Source organism: Homo sapiens, chromosome 11 (genome assembly GCF_000001405.40).
Source record: "Homo sapiens chromosome 11, GRCh38.p14 Primary Assembly".
Lineage (NCBI taxonomy): Eukaryota > Metazoa > Chordata > Mammalia > Primates > Hominidae > Homo > Homo sapiens.
In genome coordinates, this window is record NC_000011.10 from 56,906,908 (window position 1) to 56,929,300 (window position 22,393).

Below are 22,393 nucleotides of genomic sequence, written 5' to 3' on the forward strand. Positions count from 1 at the left end.
TGTAAGTTGTGTCTCCAGAAACAATTTTGCACTAGTCGAAATGAATATAACCTTGATGACTTGTGAACTGAGTAAGAACATGGGCAATGGCTCTAAAAGCAAATCAAGTGTACTCTGCCTTTTTTTGCAGACAAAAACAGTGACTCATGAGCAAAATGAACATTGGCTTCAACTATGTGCAGGAGAGAAAACTACCTGTGGAAAGGGAAGGTGGGCGGGGAGGATGTGACAAAGAAAATTACAATATAAACAGCAACATCCCCGCCTTAGACATGCATCACAATTTTAAAGTTTAAAATTTAACTTCATGTCAATTACCTCCCCCCACCACCGCCTGGAAAAGACACCAATATGGAGATTCTTTAGAATTTTCATTCACCAACTGTGCAAAAATGTATATGTTCTGGTCTTTCCAGTGTTTGTACAATAAAAGAGCACTTCCCAAAATAAACCATGAAATGTTTGCATACATTTTGGACTACTGTGCAATACTAAAAACAAAGTGGACTCCTTGTAGCATATTTTTCATATTCATCAGTATGTGCATATAAAAAAACTAAGAGTCAAGTCTCATTATAGGGATAGTGGGACAGAACATTTGAAATTAAGATCTTCCTAGAAAATCTGGCCTATACTGATTCCATGATGACATCCTAAAACATTTTATTTTGGTAAGGAAAAGGAAAGTGTCAAGCATGTTATTTTCTGCAATCCTCTAAGAAGCCTCATCCATTTTACAGATGAGGAAATTGCTCAAGGTCACATACCTAAATAGATGGCCAAGCAGGGATTAAATTCAGGTTGGTTTCATTCCAAAGCCTGGGTTCATTCTTTTTTTTTTTTAATACCCTAAGTTCTAGGGTACATGTGCACAATGTGCATGTTTGAAACATAGATATACATGTGCCATGATGGTTTGCTGCAACCATCAACTCATCATTTACATTAGGTATTTCTCCTAATGCTATTCCTCCCCCAGCCCCGCACCCCCCAACAGGCCCCAATGTGTGATGTTCCCCGCCCTTTCTCTACCGCACTGAGAATAGACCTAATGTGGAAATGAGGAATGACAGGGTTGTTCCTGCCTAGAATTTGGCGAAGGGGCAGCCTATTTGGCATGCCGCTGATAATCCTCTCTTGCCTGTGGAGTACTTTCTTTCCCTTGTCTCTGGATATAGTGGCTTCCAGAAAGAAGGGCCAAGGGAAGACATTTATTTGGATCACACCCATAATTACTCTGACCATTATTCTAAGCTTTACCTGTTAAGATCTGCTTCCCGTCATATCATGGATCCAAACCGGACTCCCACATTACTACTCACCACAGATAATCATTGGCTAAAAGAGTACAGTCAGCTGGCGGAAGAATCCAAACATTGGTTCTCAGGTGACTTAATTGAAAAGGAGATTCTCTCCTTATCATATTGTCCTTGTTCAGTTGTCTACTGCTCCCATTAGATTATATGTTTCCTAAGTGTGGAAACCCCATTTTATCATGTTTATCTTTATGTTCCAAATGCCTAGCTCAGTAAGTATCTGACACCTAGGACATAATTCAAAATAAATAATGAATGTGTGAATAAATACACAATTGTAAGATTAAGTAGGTCATATGCAATTTAAAAAATCTTTTATCATTTTATTTTATTTTTATTTATAATCGACACATAGTAATTGTATGTATTTATGAGCTACACTATGATGTTTCAATACATATGTACGTTGTGTAATGATCAAGTCAAGGTTATTAGGATCTTCATCACTTTAAACATTTATCGTTTCTTTGTTGTAACATTCAATATCCTCTCTTCTAGCTATCTTGAAATATATAATACCTGATTGTTAGCTACAGTCACCCTACTGCAGTGGTCCTCAATCTTTCTGGCACCAGGGACTGGTTTCATGGAAGACAATTTTCCCATGGACCAGTGGGTGGGGTGTGGTTTCAGGAGATTCAAGCACATTACATTTATTGTGCACTTTATTTCTATTATTATTACACTGTAATAATGAAATAATTATACAATTTACAATAATGTAGAATCAGTGGGAGCTCTGAGCTTGTTTTCCTGCAACTACTGGGTCCCATCTGGGGTGATGGGAGACAGTGACAGATCATCAGGCATTAGATTCTCATAAGGAGCATGTAACCTAGATCCCTCACATGTGCAGTTTACAATAGGATTTGTGCTCCTATGAGAATCTAATGCTGCAGCTGATCTCACAGGAGGCAGAGCTCAGGCTGTAATGAGAATGATGGGGAGTAGCTGTAAACATAGATGAAGCTTCCCTTGCTCGCCTGCCACTCACCTTCTGCTATGCAGCCCAGTTCCTAACAGACCACAGACTGGCACTGATTCGTGGCCCGGGGGCTGGGGACCCTTGCCCTATGTGTAATAGAACACCAAACTCATTTTTCCGGTCTAGCTGTAACTTTGTACCCATCATATGCAATTTGATGGAAGAAACACAGAGCACTGATGGGGCCCTTGAAGGGGGGACAGAAATTGTTAAGTATAGTTTGTGACATGTAGAGGCTTGAGTATCATGAAATATCCAAATACACACACACACACACACACACACACACACATACACATATATATATCACATATATATCACATATATATCATATATATCACATATATATCATATATATATGATATTTCATGATACTCAAGCTCAATGTGTCACAAACTACACTTAACAATTTCTGTCCCCCCATTCTGGGTGGGGGGTAGAGAGAGAGAGAGAGATCTAAATATATATATATTTGGAAAGTCCCCATTCAGGCATAAGATTCAGGATAGAGAGTCAGGCTGGAGGATTGCAAGGTTAGGGAGTGTTAACTGGGGATGCGATGGGGGTTGCTAAGAAACAACTGCAAAGAAGACTATGGAAAGACAATGCTAATGCTTACAGGTTTTCAAATAAAGAGCCATCCCCTTCTACTATAGATGTATGATATCCAGACCAGCATTCTCCAACAGAAATATAATGCACCATATTAAAATGACATATGCATTTTAAATTTTTCAATAGTCATATTTAAAAGGTAAGTTTATTACTCCATATATATTCAAAACAGTATTATTTCAACATGTAATCAATGTAAAAGTTATTGATGAAATATTTTACATTCCTTTTTTCATACTGAATCTTCAAAATCCAGTAGGTATTTTATACTTACAGCTTGTCTTTATTCGGTCGCTTTTCAAGTGCTCAATAGCCACATGTGTTAATGGCTATTGCATTGGACAGAGCAGACTAGAACATGTATAGACTGCTTGCTAAGCTATGTGAAATATGCAATAAAAACTACTACTGCTGCTCATTCTTCTGTAAATGATTAACATAAAGGAGGAAAAACTGAATATGCCAACATTTTACATACGTCATCTCATAACTCCCCAGACCACCCACGGAGGTAAATGTCCTTATGTTATTTACCGGAGATAGAACTGAGCCTCAAAGAGGTTGGGTGATTTGCCGAAACGATGCAGCAGTATTTATACATCCAGCATAGGTAACTAGGTTGATATGCCTCCAAATTCTTTGCTCTATTAAAATTTCAGACTTTCTATGATTAAAAAAGAAAAAAAAACACAAAAACCTAATCAGAGGTGACTCAAGATTGGCATGTGCTAAAATCTTTTTATTCTCATTTATTTTTGTATGACAGCATTGAAGCCGGGACATGCAAGGATCTGAGCCAAGACCCCCAGGGAGATCACTTCAGATCCATGATTCTTTGAAACACTCATTGAAGTAAGATACCTGGGGCCGCATCTTTTTCCCCAGAACTAATTAAAGTCTCGGAGCTAAGTCTTCTTTATATGTAAAATAGAAAAAATACTCTCTGCCCCAGCTACCTTCAGATTTATTTTAATGAAGATCAGATAAGACAAGGATGGGAAAACATTTCTTTTCAACCAGCTTTTACGATTTTCCTTACCAAGACTTTTAGCCTAAAGTTGTGTTTCTGGATCAGAGAATTATTTCTTTGTAAGCTATGAGCGCCTCTGTCCGATGAGTCATGCTGTGGCTCAGCAGTGGAGGCAAGCTAGAGAAACTCAAATATCTTATTTTGACTTTGGGGATGCATGCAGAAAACTCTGACAGTGAAGGGTATTTCAGGAAAGAATTATTTCAAATAACGAGCCCGCTCTTCTCCTCAGGGCCTGTCAGCAGACCGGTGGAATTACTGGCACTTTGAACAACACGTAAAGCCGAACATCTACCCCAAAGACCCAGATATTGACACGGACCCACTTTTTCTCCTTGGAGATTCACAACCTGTCAAGGTACACTTAGAAATCTTGAGCACCGAGGAAATGTTCCTGGAAGTGGTTCGTGGAAAGGCTTACAGCCTTGCCTTGGAAAGATCAAGCTGGAAATTCTGGCTTCACACACAATCTGAGAACATCTCTCCTTCTTTTAGGTTCAAAATACAGATTTGAAATAACTGAATCTGGGGCTGTAAGAATACAAGGCGATTTAGAGCCGTAACCATTAAGTCTATGACCTTACAGATCATCCAGTCCAACCTCCCACGGCAGGAAATATGGAAATCCACATTACTCTGAGCAATCCCAGTGACAGATGGGTCCCTGCCCAGTGCCTGTCATTTCCTCTGAGGCAATACAAGCCAATGTTAGATCGTGGAACCAGATGACTGAAGTTGCAATGACTGTCTGAGGTTTAAACAGGGCATGGAGAAACATTCACTGAGAGAATATAGGTCAATATATTCAATAAGCACTAGGTCACATACGTTCACATAGCTAGTTATCTCAACTAATTCTAGCCCAGTTAGAAAAGACTATGCTGTTATATTTAGTTCATGTTCATTTTGGTGCATTTACACATGAACTACAGCCCAAATGCCATGGAAGAGATCTACAGGTCTCACCTCTAATTTGAGCTTCTTAAACAACAGAAAAAAGGAGGGGGAAAACCATCTTCAGAATTTCTCAGTTAATTATTACTTTTTAAAACTCCAACTTATTTCTGAGGGCTCTGTTCTGTTCCATTGATCTATATCTCTGTTTTGGTACCAGTACCATGCTGTTTTGGTTACTGTAGCCTTGTAGTATAGTTTGAAGTCAGGTAGTGTGATGCCTCCAGCTTTGTTCTTTTGGCTTAGAATTGACTTGGCGATGCGGGCTCTTTTTTGGTTCCATATGAACTTTAAAGTAGTTTTTTCCAATTCTGTGAAGAAAGTCATTGGTAGCTTGATGGGGATGGCATTGAATCTGTAAATTACCTTGGGCAGTATGGCCATTTTCACGATATTGATTCTTCCTACCCATGAGCATGGAATGTTCTTCCATTTGTTTGTATCCTCTTATTTCTTTGAGCAGTGGTTTGTAGTTCTCCTTGAAGAGGTCCTTCACATCCCTTGTAAGTTGGATTCCTAGGTATTTTATTATCTTTGAAGCAATTGTGAATGGGAGTTCACTCATGATTTGGCTCTCTGTTTGTCTGTTGTTGGTGTATAAGAATGCTTGTGATTTTTGCACATTGATTTTGTATCCTGAGACTTTGCTGAAGTTGCTTATCAGCTTAAGGAGATTTTGGGCTGAGACAATGGGGTTTTCTAGATATACAATCATGTCGTCTGCAAACAGGGACAATTTGACTTCCTCTTTTCCTAATTGAATACCCTTTATTTCCTTCTCCTGCCTAATTGCCCTGTGCAGAACTTCCAACACTATGTTGAATAGGAGTGGTGACAGAGGGCATCCCTGTCTTGTGCCAGTTTTCAAAGGGAATGCTTCCAGTTTTTGCCCATTCAGTATGATATTGGCTGTGGGTTTGTCATAGATAGCTCTTATCATTTTGAAATACGTCCCATCAATACCTAATTTATTGAGAGTTTTTAGCATGAAGGGTTGTTGAATTTTGTCAAAGGCTTTTTCTGCATCTATTGAGATAATCATGAGCCCTCAGAAATAACACCGCATACCTACAACTATCTGATCTTTGACAAACCTGAGAAAAACAAGCAATGGGGAAAGGATTCCCTATTTAATAAATGGTGCAGGGAAAACTGGCTAGCCATATGTAGAAAGCTGAAACTGGATCCCTTCCTTACACCTTATACAAAAATCAATTCAAGATGGATTAAAGATTTAAACGTTAGACCTAAAACCATAAAAACCCTAGAAGAAAACCTAGGCATTACCATTCAGGACATAGGCATGGGCAAGGACTTCATGTCTAAAACACCAAAAGCAATGGCAACAAAAGACAAAATTGACAAATGGGATCTAATTAAAATAAAGAGCTTCTGCACAGCAAAAGAAACTACCATCAGAGTGAACAGGCAACCTACAAAATGGGAGAAAATTTTCGCAACCTACTCATCTGACAAAGGGCTAATATCCAGAATCTGCAATGAACTCAAACAAATTTACAAGAAAAAAACAAACAACCCCATCAAAAAGTGGGCGAAGGACATGAACAGACACTTCTCAAAAGAAGACATTTATGCAGCCAAAAAACACATGAAAAAATGCTCATCATCACTGGCCATCAGAGAAATGCAAATCAAAACCACTATGAGATACCATCTCACACCAGTTAGAATGGCAATCATTAAAAAGTCGGGAAACAACAGGTGCTGGAGAGGATGTGGAGAAATAGGAACACTTTTACACTGTTGGTGGGACTGTAAACTAGTTCAACCATTGTGGAAGTCGGTGTGGCGATTCCTCAGGGATCTAGAACTAGAAATACCATTTGACCCAGCCATCCCATTACTGGGTATATACCCAAAGGAATATAAATCATGCTGCTATAAAGACACATGCACACGTACGTTTATTGCAGCACTATTCACAACAGCAAAGACTTGGAACCAACCCAAATGTCCAACAATGATAGACTGGATTAAGAAAATGTGGCACATATACACCATGGAATACTATGCAGCCATAAAAAATGATGAGTTCACGTCCTTTGTAGGCACATGGATGAAATTGGAAATCATCATTCTCAGTAAACTATCGCAAGAACAAAAAACCAAACACCACATATTCTCACTCACAGGTGGGAATTGAACAATGAGATCACATGGACACAGGAAGGGGAATATCACACTCTGGGGACTGTGGTGGGGTGGGGGGAGGGATAGCATTGGGAGATATACCTAATGCTAGATGACGAGTTAGTGGGTGCAGCGCACCAGCACGGCACATGTATACATATGTAACTAACCTGCACAATGTGCACATGTACCCTAAAACTTAAAGTATAAAAAAAAAAATAAAAAAAAAAACTCCAACTTAAAACCATCATGTAAAGGACAATGTCAATTACCGAGATTTTTAGGAGGGAGTATTTCTTAAGCATAGGAGATATAAGGATAACCAAAGAAAAGTGCCTCCCCTCAAATGAAGTACCTGAGAGTCAGGTACTTGGGAAGAGTTTGCTATCTCCTAGAAAAACTAGGAGTTTTATAAAAATAAAACGATATAGCCTTCTCAGTTGTTGCCTGTCTGGTACATTAACCAAAAATTGTGCAACTTTTTGAAAGTAGTTTTTTTCATCTTTGGGAGACTCACCCTTTTCCCTAGCTGAAATAGAAAACAAGGTCTCTTGCTTTGAAAAAATTCTTGGTGCTGTGATCACAAATCAGTTGCTTTTGACAATGATTCCACAAACACATTGGACTTCCCTGATGTTTGTGGGTTTCTATGATCATCATTAGAATTCTGAAGTATTGATTTCTCCAATTGTCCCCTCATATCTCCCCTTCCCCCTAGAGAGCAAGGGAGTTTGTCTCAGGGAAGTTCATGAAGCAGCTTGAGTTCAGACATGCCTTCTATAGAGCTATTTTCAGCACACATGCTACCTCTTCACAAACAATAGAGGCTACCTCTCCAAGTTCTGAAGCTGCTCCTGGGACATCCCTAAAACCTTAGAGTTCTATATAACATAATTTCAAAGCCACTGCAGAAGACATTACTTACAATTATTTATTTAAACTCTAAAATTCAGTAGTTTCACATCAAAAACATTTCTAATCAGCCCTGGGCTTTTCCTTTCTTCCTTCTTTACTGTCTGCCTTTCTAATACTTTATTCAAATGTTAAGTTTCTTCAGCAAGCATTTATATTCTTCTATGTCCTGTGCTTATATCCTGGAAGACCGAATCCTCCTTTAAGGTGATACTCAAAATCTGTCCATTACTGTTTGTCCACTCCCACGCATTTCCAACTAGTCCCTTTACCATGTTTCCTGTTCCTAAAATATTTAAAGGTTTAGGAATAACTGCAAATAGCTATTATTACTTTATCACTATGATTTTTTTGTAATTTTTGACAATAAGAGAAGGAAGGACCAACTATACAATCCAAATACAAGAAGAAATCTATACATAGGAGGAAAGATATCAAAGGAAAGGAGAAAGCAAGAGTCAAACACTGCCCAGAGTTGTAACTGAAGGGCAAAAATACAGAGTGAGTATGAATTATCATTCATTCGTTAATTCCTTCAATAAACATTTATTGAGTGTCTGCCAGATACTAGAGATATAATCATTACTTCTATCCTCCTTTCAAAGCATTTGCTTTGTGCCCTGAATATATGCCAGATTAACTAAGGAGACTCCTAGAAAATGAATCACATTTTCAGTAGTGAATGTAATATTATAATTATATTATTATACTGTAATTATATAATGTATAATAGATATTATATGTGCTGTCATCATGTGCTAAAATAATAAATGATAGTGTGATTTCCATGATGAGAACACAAAGAAGAAAGATGAGACAGACAGGAGAGGCCACAACTATATCTTCTATCATATTACCATTTAGTATCTTTCGGATGAATGAATTTAAAAGAAAATTCTTGACTGTGATGAATGAATCATACATCTGTTGGATGAATGAATGAATATGGAGCAGAATCCTAAATGCCATAGTTGAAGAAGCACAAGAAAAACTCTGAAATGTCCCATTTCAGTGACCATTCCACCTCACATAAAAAGAAAAAAATTCAAAATGATTCCCATAAGAACAAAAAAATGATCACAATTCCTACAGTCAAATGGAATATTCCATTTGTGCCAGAATTACCCACATATAATTGAAGCAAAAAGTTGCCACAATATTTCCTCCCATCCTGGTTCTGGTTCTTCTAGTTCCTCAGACTTGAAAGCCGATGAACAGTGATCAGATGGCTCTTCCCATAAAGATTTTAGACATACACACATGCATGTGCACACACACACATACACACACACACATACACATGCATCCTCGAGTGTGATGACCAGAAGTATGGTCTCTTATTTTAGTTTTATTATCTCTCTATTCAGTACGGCAAGAAGAAAATCAAATACATCAACTATGAAGAGCAGCACCTGTACTTCTACAAAGGTGAGTCTCCCAGAGCCACATTCCTTGTATCCCATTTACTTGAAGCAAGTACTTGTCAAGGGAGAAGGCCGATTGGAATGCTCTCACAGAGACCAGCCCATGTCCTATTGCTACTGAGCAAAGCAGAATGTCTTATTTATACTCACTGGGGTGGAAATCGGCAAAGGGAAATGGAAAAGTAAACAGCCTTTTTAAAGGGCACCTCATCATTCTAAGAGTTGGATGGGGAAGGAAGGAGATACCCAACGAGGGAGGGAAGGCAGGCTGCCAGTCAAGGGGCCTGCATCTAGGACTGTCATTCTGGAAAGACCAAACATCTATCAAGAGAAAAGAATAATGGTGTTTGTGTAGGAAGGAAGTAGACATGGGGAAATAAATCTGAAGCATTTGCAGTGTGACACCGGAAATGGAGAGGCCGGGAAATAAAGGGCATCTGCAGTGCTCTTGTGTGGAAGAAAGCTGTCTGCTCCCATGACCTGCATACAGCTGTGGGAAGGCATGAGACATATATATCTGAGTGTGGGCATGTGGGTCAAGTGTGAAGGAAAATAAAGGTAGCTGAGTAAATCTGATACCAGTAAAAGAACATCATAAGCAAAGAGCCTTTGCTCTTAACCAATATCAAACTCATAGCAGCTCACAAAAAAAAGAAACCCCCAAATCTGCCCAACTAAAACATACATCTGGGGGTTAAACCAAAATCAGGGAAGGAACCAAACATTTCCTGTAATCCAGTTGTTCTCAACCCGAGCAATTTTGCCTCCCAGAGGCAGTCTAAAGACATTTTTTTGGTTATCGCAACAGAGGAAGAGGGAACGTATTGGCAGTCAGTGGATAGAAGCCAGGGATGCTGCTAAACATTCCGCGATGCAAAGGACAGCCCCTTATAAAAATAATCATCTCACCCAAATTGCCAGCAGTGCTGGGGTTGAGAAACACCGTTGCAGATGATCTGATTTGCCCACGTGTAGGCCACACACCTATCATGCCAGAGGAGGACAGCAGGGGGCAAATTTTTTGAAGTGTGAGATTGACCATCACTGCTGGCTCCTCCACAGTTGGAATTCAGCCTCCCCGATCCTGCACTCTCACCTGCCCCGCTTCTCTTGCATAACCTGAAAGAGGAATGAGGACATTGGTGCCCCATTTTTATTTATTTTTATTTATTTATTTTTTAATTATTATTATTATACTTGAAGTTTTAGGGTATATGTGCACAACGTGCAGGTTTGTTACATATGTATACATGTGCCATGTGCTGCACCCATTAACTCGTCATTTAGCATTAGGTATCTCTCCTAATGTTATCCCTCCCCCCTAACCCCACCCCACAACAGTCCCCGGTGTGTGATGTTCCTCTTCCTGCGTCCATGTGTTCTCATTGGCGCCCCATTTTTAAAAGGTAGCCGATTCCCAGCCTAAGTAGATGTGTGTTTGCATAAGAAAATGCTGTTGGACTTTCTTCTGTGAACTTTCCTGAGAAACATGTGTTTACCTCCCCTGTCTGTAGTGGGGCAATATGCCCTTCCCTTATGAGAAATGAGGGAATGGTGTGAATTCACTGCAAAATGCCCACCTCACAAACCACACTGCCACCACCAAGAGCTGTTTTATTGTGGCCTTTCCCGGCAAATGCTAGCTTAACATCTCGGGTGCAAATGAGTCATACTCAAACTGTCAAAAAGAAACAAAACCAGACATTTGTTAAAGGCAGCAAGACAAATTATATTCAGGCAATTGCACTAGGGGAGAGAGACTTCACCATAAACTGAGCTTAATTCTCCTGACGCAAAAGTGAGAGAGAGGCTTTTAAATGCTGGAACATACTAAAGGAAAAGTACTGAAAGACACTGGGAGATGGGGTAGGGGGTGGAGGAGTTGGTTGATAAGATTTGTCCAGGCTGTCTGTGTCTGCTAACTGGTACTTATCAAAGTTTGGCTCCTATCCTCCCAAATAGACTGACAGATAACAGCCCCAGCCTTCTTGATGGCTAGATTTCAAAGGGATTGTTACCAGGCCCCTGAGAAATACATTTCTGGAGTATAGAAGCTACATCTCAAAGGAAGACACAAAGGATTTACAATTGTCAGTGTCCTAAAGTAAATGCTCTAAGAAAAAGGGGTGTCAGGTGCCTATAGTCAGATACTGGCCAGAATAAACAGTAAATTATTTTGGCAGCATTGAGCTTTCTCAGGTAAAAACATCAAGGATGCTGGGATTACCCCAGAGAGATGGCCTTGAGCTTTGAGAAACTATGCTAGTGTTTGTTCAAGTTTCTTAGTTTGGAGAGTGGATGAAATCATTTGTGCTGAGAGTCTGCAATTCTCGTAGGCCAAGGTTGAGGCCTAGTCAAGAAGAGGGCTCAGAGGATCCTAACTAAAGTTCGACCAGGGAGACAGCCTTTGTCAAAAGCCAGGGGATGTCCTTAAGGATCCTCTGTGCCTGGGAAGCCTCAATGATGCTGGGAGAGAGGCAGGTAAATAACTCTGACCAGGAAATGAGTATACCTTCTTTATCACTGACACCTCAACACACTGTAATGGGGCTAAATCCCAAAGATCCAGGGAGACTGAAGGACTCCAAGTACCTTGAAAAAACTTGAAAGCTGATAGCAGAAGCTCTTCAGGGATGCTTTCATCAAAAATGACTCAAATCTCCCAAGCTTTCCTCGCTTCTTTGAGGCAGCTTGAACCTGGAGCTACTAACCAAATTCCTAGCCCAGCCTTTTAGACTTGAAATGCCCAGTGCAGTCCAGGATGAGGCTGTGGATCTCCACCTTGCATCTTTCCTTGGGGCCAGCATTCCAGGAACGCTGCATTAAGGAGATAGACTCCTGCTGACTTGCATTGGGGTCACATTTTTTAATTAAATATATTTACTGGATTTATTAAATAAATGTATTAAGTACATTATAAAAATACAACACAGTAATTACAAAACAGATGCTGGATCATCCTAATGCCAAAAACTGGCAGAGACACAACAAAAAAAGAAAATTTTAGGACAATATCCCTGATGAACATCAGTGCGAAAATCCGTAGTAAAATACTGGCAAACCAAATCCAGCAGCACATCCAAAAGCTTATCCACCAAGATCAAGTCGGGACTCAAGGCTGGTTCAACATATGCAAATAAATAAATGTAATCCACCACATAAACAGAACCAATGACAAAAACCACGATTGTCTCAATAGATGCAGAAAAGGCCTTTGATAAAATTCAACACCCCTTTATGCTAAAAACTCTCAATAATCTAGGTATTGATGGAAAGTATCTCAAAATAATAAGAGCTATTTATGACAAACCCACAGCCAATATCAATTTGAATGGGCAAAAGCTGGAAGTATTCCCGTTGAAAATTGGCACAAGACAACCTCTCTCACCACTCCTATTCAACATAGTATTGAAAGTTTCTGGCCAGGGCAATCAAGCGAAAGAAGGAATTCAAATTGGAAGAGAGGAAGTCAAAGTGTCTCTGTTTGAACATCACATGATTATATATTTAGAAAACCCCATCATCTCAGCCCAAAATCTCCTTAAGCTGATCAGCAACTTCAGCAGAGTCTCAGGATACAAAATCAACGTACAAAAACCACAAGCATTCCTATACACCAATAACAGACAAACAGAAAGCCAAATCATGAGTGAACTTCCATTCACAATTGCTACAAAGATAATAAAATACCTAGGAATACAACTTACAAGGAACGTGAAGGATCATTTCAAGGAGAACTACAAAGCACTGCTCAAGGAAATAAAAGAGGACACAAACAAGTGTAAAAATATACCATGCTCATGAATAGGAAGAATCAATATCATGAAAATGGCCATACTGCCCAAAGTAATTTACAGATTCAACAGTATCATCATCAAGCTACCATTGACTTTCTTCACAGAATTAGAAAAAACTACTGTAAATTTAAAAAAAGCCCATATAGCCAAGACAATCCTCAGCAAAAAGAACAAAACTGAAGGCATCACACTACCTGACTTCAAACTATACTACAAGTATACCAAACTATACTATGGTAACCAAAACAGCATGGTACTGGTATGAAAACAGAGATATAGACCAATGGGACAGAACCGAGGCCTCAGAAATAATGCCACACATCTACAACCTTCTGATATTTGACAAACCTGACAAAAACAAGCAATGGGGAAATGATTCCCTATTTAATAAATGGTGTTGGGAAAACTGGCTAGCCATATGCAGAAAACTGAAACTGGACCCCTTCCTTACACCTTATACAAACATTAACTCAAGATGGATTAAAGACTTAAATGTAAGACCTAAAACCATAAAAACCCTAGAAGAAAACCTAGGCAATACCATTCAGGACATACCTAGGCAATACCATTCAGGACATAGGCATGGGCAAGGACTTCATGTCGAAAACACCAAAAGCAATGGCAACAAAAGCCAAAATTGACAAATGGGATCTAATTAAACTAAAGGGCTTCTGTACAGCAAAAGAAACTATCATCAGAGTGAAGAGGCAACCTACAGAATGGGAGAAAAATTTTGTAATCTATCCATCTGACAAGGGGCTAATATCCAGAATCTACAAGGAACTTAAACAAATTTACAAGAAAAAAACAAACAACCCCACCAAAAATTGGGCAAATGATATGAACAGACACTTCTCAAAAGAAGACATTTATGTGGCCAACAAACATATGAAAAAAAAAGTTCAACATCACTGGTCATTAGAGAAATGCAAATCAAAACCACAATATGATACCATCTCATGCCGGTTAGAATGGCAATCATTAAAAAAGCAGGAAACAACAGATGCTGGAGAGGATGTGGAGAAATAGAAATGCTTTTATACTGTCGTTGGGAGTGTAAATTAGTTCAATCATTGTGGAAGACAGTGTGGTGATTCCTTAAGGATCTAGAACCAGAAATACCATTTGACCCAGCAATCCCATTACTGGGTATATACCCAAAGGATTATATATCATTCTACTGTAAAGACACATGCACACATATGTTTACTGCAACACTATTCACAATAGCAAAGACTTGGAACCAACCCAAAAGCCCATTAATGTTAGACTGGATAAAGAAAATGTGTCACATATTTACTGTGGAATACTATGCAGCCATAAAAAAGGATGAGTTCATGTCCTTTGCAGGGACATGGGTGAAGCTGAAAACCATCATTCTCAGCAAACTAACACAGGAACAGAAAACCAAATACTGCATGTTCTCACTCATAAGTGGGAGATGAGCAATGAGAACACATGGACACAGGAAGAGGAACATCACACACCAGGGGCTGTTTGTGGGTTGGGGGTTAGGGGAGGGATAACATTAGGAGAACAACCTAATGTAGATGATGGGTTGATGGGTGCAGCAAACAACCATGGCACGTGTATACCTATGTAACAAGCCTTCACGTTCTGTACATGTATCCCAGAACTTAAAGTATAATTTAAAAAAAAGATGCTGGAAAATATTTAGAGAAATGGGAAGATGGTCATGATATGTTTTCTTTTTAAAGATAGTGTAAAAAACAGTACTACAGGTAGCATAATACCAATTTTTAGAACATATATTAATATATCTATATTCAAAATATTTATGGTAGTATCTGGGTAGTAAGATTACTGGTGATTTTCCTTTTTTTTTTTTTACTTTTATTTTAGTTTCAAGGATACATGTGCAGGTTTGTTATACAGATAAATTGTGTGTCTCGGGAGGCATCACTACTCACAATAGCTAAGACATGGAATCAGCCTAAATGCATATCAGTGGTAGACTGCTTAGATAAAATGTGGTACGTATATACCATGGAATACTACACATCCATTCAAAAGAATAAGATAACGTCCTTTGAAGCAACATGGATGGAGATGGAGGCCATTATCCTAGGTGAACTAACGCAGGAACAGAAAACCAAACACTGCATGTTCTCACTTCTAAGTGGGAGCTAAACATTAAATACACATGAACACATTTTGTTTATTTATTCAGCATCATTTTTTGTTCTGTTTCAGTTTGGCTCCCACTCTTCATGCCAGTATATCTCAAACTGCCATCCATGCAAGCGATGTACCTCCAAAGATATTGGGTGGTGAGTAATGTGGCTCATTCTCCGAAACTAGACCAAGTAGAAGAGGGAAAATGAAAATGCTGTGTCCTCTCCAGATACAGCTTCCTTGAATAACAGGGCATAAGATTTAGCCAGAACATGAAGGGATCCCAGGCCAATGAAGAGGAAATGAAATCATGTTCAGGGTGTATAACTTTCAAGTGCTTTTCTCTGCAAGACATCACCTGGGTTAGCAGCTTTTACATCTGATATTTCATCACATTTGGCCTTTACTATGGAATCTTCGGGACCATGTTGCTCATATATTTGGTCAAGTAAGAATACTATTTTATTCCAGTAATCCAGAAGATCCTCATCCTTTCCCTATCAGAGCTATTTGTCATTAGCTTTAAGAGAGATTAGATTATGACATCATGCCCCATTTCTTGCAGCTGGGGTGTTTTTAAGCAAATGTGAAAAAAAAAAGTTGAAATAGTTGAATAAGACGAGCTCTTTGCAAAAAAAATTTGCCCAATCTCCATTTTTTACCCACTTCCTGGATTCCTAATTGAAGCATTTCAGTTGAACCCTAAGTCCTTAAAATTGTAATCTAGGTAGACATAGTAATCCCTACCAAAGAATGACAGGGAAGGATTTTTTTTTAAGTTCTTTTATGACTAGAGGTTTTCCCAAAGCAAAACGACTTCCAACGCATTTTTGCTTGAATAGTCCTCTCCAGTTTTCCAATGTAATCTTCCCTCATTCTGTTGCCACGTTATTCTAAGTCCTAAATAATTATAAGAATAATTGTAGCTACTATGCATCAGACACTTTGTTAAAGGCTTTACGTGCATTATCTTATTTGATTTAATCCTCACACAACTCTGCAGTGTAGATAGTATCATGGTCATTTTTCTGCTAAAGGAACTGAAGTTTAAGGAGATTAAATCATATGCCCAAGGGCATGTAAGAGCAAGTAAGAGCCAAGGCCAATGCCAAAACAGAACTTGAATCCACCTCTTATCTGAGGACAAAGCCTAGGCTGTCAACCAGTTTGCATATGCCCTTAAATTTCCCTAGTGGTTTTGATCTTTGCACTAGAGCTACAGAAAACTTTAGAGGCTCTGCTCCTATACATTTGGCAGTCATGTGGCTGAATGCTTAGAGTGTCATCTCTTGATATAAAGATCTTTCAAATAAGAAAAAGAAAGACCACCATTTTACTGGAAACTTTGAGTCTCTTTCATTTCCTCCAATGATCAACCAGCTCTACTAGGGGTTATGCAAGTCCAGTGCTTGCTACTGAAACACCCCAAACAGTCATCACTCCCTCCTTTTATTCCTCCAAAAGGTTTCTTGAAAGTCCTTGGATTGTATATGTTACCCAGATGAGCCACATAACAATGAGAATGAGCACAGAGGAGAACCGGGACTGGCTCACCACTCAGGTAATGATGGAGTTCCTGGGGGAGAATCTTTCAAACCACACTGACTTAGAACCAGGTCCCTCCCTTGACATGGGGATTATGGGGATTATAATTCAAGATGAGATTTGAGTAGGAACACAGGCAAACTGTATCAATGGACAATTTGATGGGAAGAGGGCTAGGAAATGGGTGCTAGTTGACTGGTTGGGGAAGAAATTATAGGGGTGTGGAAAATGTTCCCAGTCCACCTTTGGGTGGGGCCACAGGACCCATCGAGTCATGAGTCATGCATGGGTCCAAGTGGGGACAGTCTGAAAAACATCTCAAAAAATTAATCTTAGGTTCTATAATAGTGATATTATCTACAAGCACAATTGGGAAAGTCACAAATCCTGTCACCTCTGGCCACATGACTCCTGAGCAGTAAAGAATTATAGAAACTATGCCTCCAATTGTTTGACACTTGGGCTCATTTATAACTAATATAAGCTTTTTCTTTGCAGGTCTTGGCCACCTGTAATACTGAATAGTCCTTTTTCAATGACTGATTCACTGGGCACCTGAACTTCCAAATCGAGCACCAGTGAGTAACAAGAATAGTCCTTAGTAGAGCAAGTGCAGTCACTTATAACACCCCCAAATATAATCCAGATCAGGCCCTAGGCTCAAGGTCTCAGAGGGGAAAAAAAGAAAGAGCATTTTCTACAGGCTGCTATCTTTCTATTAGCAATGATGGGGAAGAAAGGAAGGAAGGAGAGAGAGAGAGAAAGAGAAAGTAAAAAAGAAAAAGAAAGAAAGAAAGAGAGAGAGAGATAGAAAGAAAGAAAAAGAAAGAAAGAAAGAAAGAAAGAAAGAAAGAAAGAAAGAAAGAAAGAAAGGAAGAAAGAAAGGAAGAAAGAAAGAAAGAAAAAAGAAAGAAAGAAAGAGAAAGAAAGATTGATTGTGAGTAACTAGAGTGAAATCTTGGAAAAGTGCCACTGATTCCATTTTCAGATACCTGCAGGCTTGAGAAGTGGGTAACCAAGTTGTGTTGAAATTTAATTTAAATGTCTATCTCTTTAGATCTGAAGTTACAAAATAATCAATGATAAAACCCATTCCCTGATGCAATATTCAAATGGTATTGGCAATACTTTACCAATGAGTCAGTTAGGTGGCCATAAAATAAAGAGAAAATGATAACACTTGGAGAGTCAATCTCCAGAATATTTAAGGGAGAGACTGTCCACATCCTCTTTACCTAAGCCATGTTTAGGATAGTCAGAGAAGGAAAGAGTTCTTATACCTGCTCATATAATTTTCTCATCCTTTCCTTCAAGTTATTCCTTAAAAACCTCAGCCAAACAAAAAAAGACTATTATTCACATTTTATCAAGAGGAAGTTAAAACCCAAGAAAGTCACCTGGGTGATTAGTGGAAAACCTTAGATAAAAACCCGTATCTCCTCACTCCTTATTCCTATCCCAGGACTTTTTCCTATATGCCATGACTAGAACTTATTGAATATTCATCTCTTCATGGGATAGGAATTAGATGGTGTTTGGGAACCTCCACCTAGTCTCTTTGCTAAAACATAACGAGAGTCACCTTTATTCCAGTTCCCAAGAAGTTCCTGATCTTCATCTGAGACCACCTCAGCCTGGACCTTATTGTCCATATCGTTATCAGCATTTTGGGCAAAGCCATTCAACAAGTCTCTAGGAAGTTCCAAACTTTCCCACATTTTCCTGCCTTATTCTGAGCCATCCAAACTGTTCCAACCTGTGCCTGTTACCCAGTTCCAAAGTCGTTTCCACATTTTGAGGTATCTTTTCAGCAACATCCCACTTCTGGTTCCAATTTACTGTATTAGTCTGTTTTCACACTGCTGATAAAGTCATACCCGAGACTGGGAAGAAAATGGGGCTTAATTGGACTTACAGTTCCAAATGGCTGGGGAGGCCTCAGAATCATGGCGAGAGGCAAAAGGCACTTCTTACATGGCAGTGGCAAGAGAAAATGAGGAAGAAGCAAAAGCAGAAACCCTTGATCAACCCATCATATCTCGTGAGACTTATTCACTATCATGAGAATAGCATGGGAAAGACTGGCCCCCATGACTCAATTACCTTCCTTTGGGTCCCTCCCACAACACGTGGGAATCTGGGAGATATAATTCAAGTTGAGATTTGGGTGGGGGCACAGCCAAACCATATCAGATGGATAGAGAGAAAGAGAGACACAAAGACAGAGACAGAGAAGGAGGACAGGGGTATCTTCAGCTCCCCTAGGTAATTCAAAGTGATAGACAATCCATACCTTCATCTGAACTGGCCAAATATAAACATATTCGATGAAGATAACATTTATTCTGTTAGCATTTCCCAAACATTCACCACCCACCTGGCTTGCAGAGGTGTTAAGAGACAAGCGTATTTTGGAAGGAGTTTTTGAACTTCCCAGAACAGCAGTATTGTGCAAGGTCAAGGTTGGGTCTGCATTGCTGATATAGTTTTATTTGGTAACAGAAGGAAGAAAACTCAAAGTTTTTCTTTAGGTCTAAATTTTATATCTCTTGTGTGTTTCTCCAGTCTGTTCCCCACAATGCCACGCCATAATTATCACAAAGTGGCGCCTCTGGTGAGGTCACTGTGTGCCAAGCACGGATTGCACTATGTGAATAAACCCATGTTGAGGGCATTTGGAGATATTGTCAGGTAATAACATAATTTCTCTCAGCTCACAGCTCTCATTTGTATTTACTGCCACTCCCCAGACTATTCAGTGGCTTGTGAATCATTCATATAACAACCATTTATTAAGGGTCACCTGTGTGCTCAGCATGGATACATGGCACCATAGGGAACCGTATCAACAACAACAAAATAATAATAATACTGACCTTTTACCTATAGGTACAGCTTAGCGAAAATGCTTTACTGTCCTACTAAATTTCAAATTTCTTAAAGTCAAGGCTGTATATTATTTGCCTTTTTATCCCCCACAGAGCTTCCTACAAATGTTAGAATTTAAGTAGTGGGAGACACTGTCAGATCATCTGGTCCAGTGTTGCAAATTTAGATGCCTGCAGGGTTCAGTGGGGTATAAATGTGCAGCTCAGGCTGGGGTGATTAATTAAGAGTAGTGAGGCATGCAGAAACTGAAAATCCATACTCATCCTTAGGCATTCATATACAATTTCCTAAAGAATGTTGTGCTGGTTAAATTAACAACCAGTAACCTGGGTTTAATAAATTTCTCTTTAGTTTAGGGTTGAAAAAAAACAATCTTAAATGAGACCAACAAGGCCAGGCCTGATCTGATCTGATCTGATCCCTAACCAGTGCTCCAGCTCCAGACTCTCTACCACACTCCTCCTCTTTCTCTATCCTCCAGATAATTTCCTCCAGAAATTAATGCAATTAGCCTACCTTAAGTTGCTGTGAAACTCCCTTCCCTAGTTGTCTTATTCTTTTGCCACTTTTTCTTCTGCCTGGAATGTTCCTCCAAACCTCCACCTCCCCTGACATCATCTTGTCAATTGCCATTCTTTCTCCAAGGCTCAACTCAAATGCCTTTTCCTCATGTCTATCTCCTCTGACCCCTAAAACTAAATTAGTCACATGCTCTTGCAGCACCTGCTTCTCTTCATTTGTGAAGTTTATCACAATTGTATTCAGATAACATATTGGGTAATAAATTATTTAATATGTGTCTCCCAAGCTAGACCTGGAATTTCATGTGGACAGGACTCACATCCACCCTACTCATTGTTGTCCCACCAGAGCCTAGAAAAATGTCCTCCATATTATAAAATAGGGTTGACAGGTAAATATAGGATGGGTGGATTTACAGATATATAGGCTCAGAAAAGAATAAAATGAAAGAAAATCTCAATGTTCTCCATAAAGAAAAGGTGAATTCACCTGCTAAAAACAATTTAGTCAACAGAATTGATCAACAGAGGATGACATTTATCAGATATAGCTGGAAATGACATTGTTCTGAACCAGGCAGAGGAGCAAATTCCATGTAGGAGCTTTCTTAACATTACAGTCTCACCTCCTGATGATCTTGTTTATTCCTTTCACAGAGCCTTGAAGAAATCTGCTGCCCTCTGGGCGGATGCTTACTATGAAACATGATGCCGAATGTCAGCCTTGACACACATGTAATTGCATCTCTGATGAGGGTTGGTGCATGTGCAGGAGCTCTTCCCTGCTTAACTGGGAATTAGTTATCACCACTGGTATACCTGACTGTGCTGTTCTAGGAATATGAATCCCAAGCACATGTGATAACCCCTTCTCTGAAAGTCTTCTCTGCAAATAAGAACCTAGGAAACACAAGATGACATTGACCAGGGTGACAAAAGGGAAATGGAGCCCAATATTTTTGTTTTTTCATTAGTACCTTAAACTCAGTCCTCCCAATAGACTTTAGTCAGATCATCTCAGTCAAGGGCCAGAAGTACAAGAACCAGGCAAAAGTTTTATGGATGAAGTGGACATAGGGAGAAGTCAGCCAAAAGAGAGCCATCTAACAGGGTACTTTGGAAATTAGTGCAATTGCTCTTAGAAAAGAATCATATGTTTAAGAATTTCCTGTTGAAGCACAAACGCTTTTTACTTATTTCTTTTCAGATGTGTGAACTTCTTTTTCTTTAAAAAACTGAGTATAATTAACAATAAAATTTCTTAAAATATTTCAAAATTGACTTCAGATCTTCATTATTGTAACTGCACATGTGTCATTAATGCATATACACATTTTCTTTCCAAGTGGAAAAAATAAAAAGTCTATGAAATATCTTAAAAGAACTTCCTACATCTAGTCCTAATAGCAACAGATCAAGCAGGTTAATGTTCTGTATTTAAAGATGTGTTGTGTTTCACTAAAGAATAGACTGCGTTTTAAGTATAAGATTTTGTTGCCTACTCCCTACCCACCATGCAGAACTACTGTACCTTGTAATTGAGTTACCCTGATGAAAGAAAGAGTTTTGTTTTCTCTGATGGAAACCCCAGGCATTGACAAGGCAGTTTTCAAGTTTGACACCAAGGTAAGCATGTCTTAGAACAAGAGGGCTTTCTCTCTCACAAGAGAGTTTTAGTGCTAGAAGGATAAGTGGATACTCTTAGTAACATACTGATCTCTAGTGTCTATACTTTTATTCAAGGTTACCTTAGCTGCAGAAAGCACAATAGTGCAAGCTTGCTTCCCCAGCTCCAAGCAAATCGGCGCTACTGGATTATCTGTTGCCTGAAATTCTACCAGTATATATTCATTCCCTTACTTCAAGCTCTGCAAAATACTCTTTTAGCTTTGTTTGTTTCTCAATTAAACCCCTACTGGAAAATAACACATTAAATCACTCATAGCTCCTGGGGACTTAGCCACACATGTCAAAGTTAAGAAAACAAAAACTGGTTGTCTGGGAGGAAGTGGCATTATTAAAATGATAATGGCTAATATCAAATAGGAAAGTTGGGGAGGAGATGAAAAGAATAAAAAGCTATTTTGACTTCAAGACTCTTCATAATAGGCAGGCAAG

The 22,393-nt window shown here is 39.1% G+C and overlaps 1 long non-coding RNA gene across 1 annotated transcript in view, besides 1 other annotated feature; it reads right to left on the reverse strand.

Moving 5' to 3' along the window:
• Positions 1–22,393, reverse strand: part of LOC105369310 (uncharacterized) — a 49,693-nt gene that overhangs the window by 4,257 nt on the left and 23,043 nt on the right. The window contains exon 2 of the long non-coding RNA XR_950121.2: positions 3,451–3,580. This is a non-coding gene — a long non-coding RNA (uncharacterized LOC105369310). The remainder of the gene's footprint in view (positions 1–3,450; positions 3,581–22,393) is intronic.
• Positions 3,392–4,591: an enhancer, noted in NCBI's record as "MED14-independent group 3 enhancer chr11:56677775-56678974 (GRCh37/hg19 assembly coordinates)". NCBI's record gives its function as "activates an origin of replication core promoter dependent on BRD2, BRD4, P300/CBP and CDK7 cofactors, and independent of MED14, by STARR-seq in HCT116 cells {active_cell/tissue: HCT116}" and the evidence as "EXISTENCE:reporter gene assay evidence [ECO:0000049][PMID:35650434]".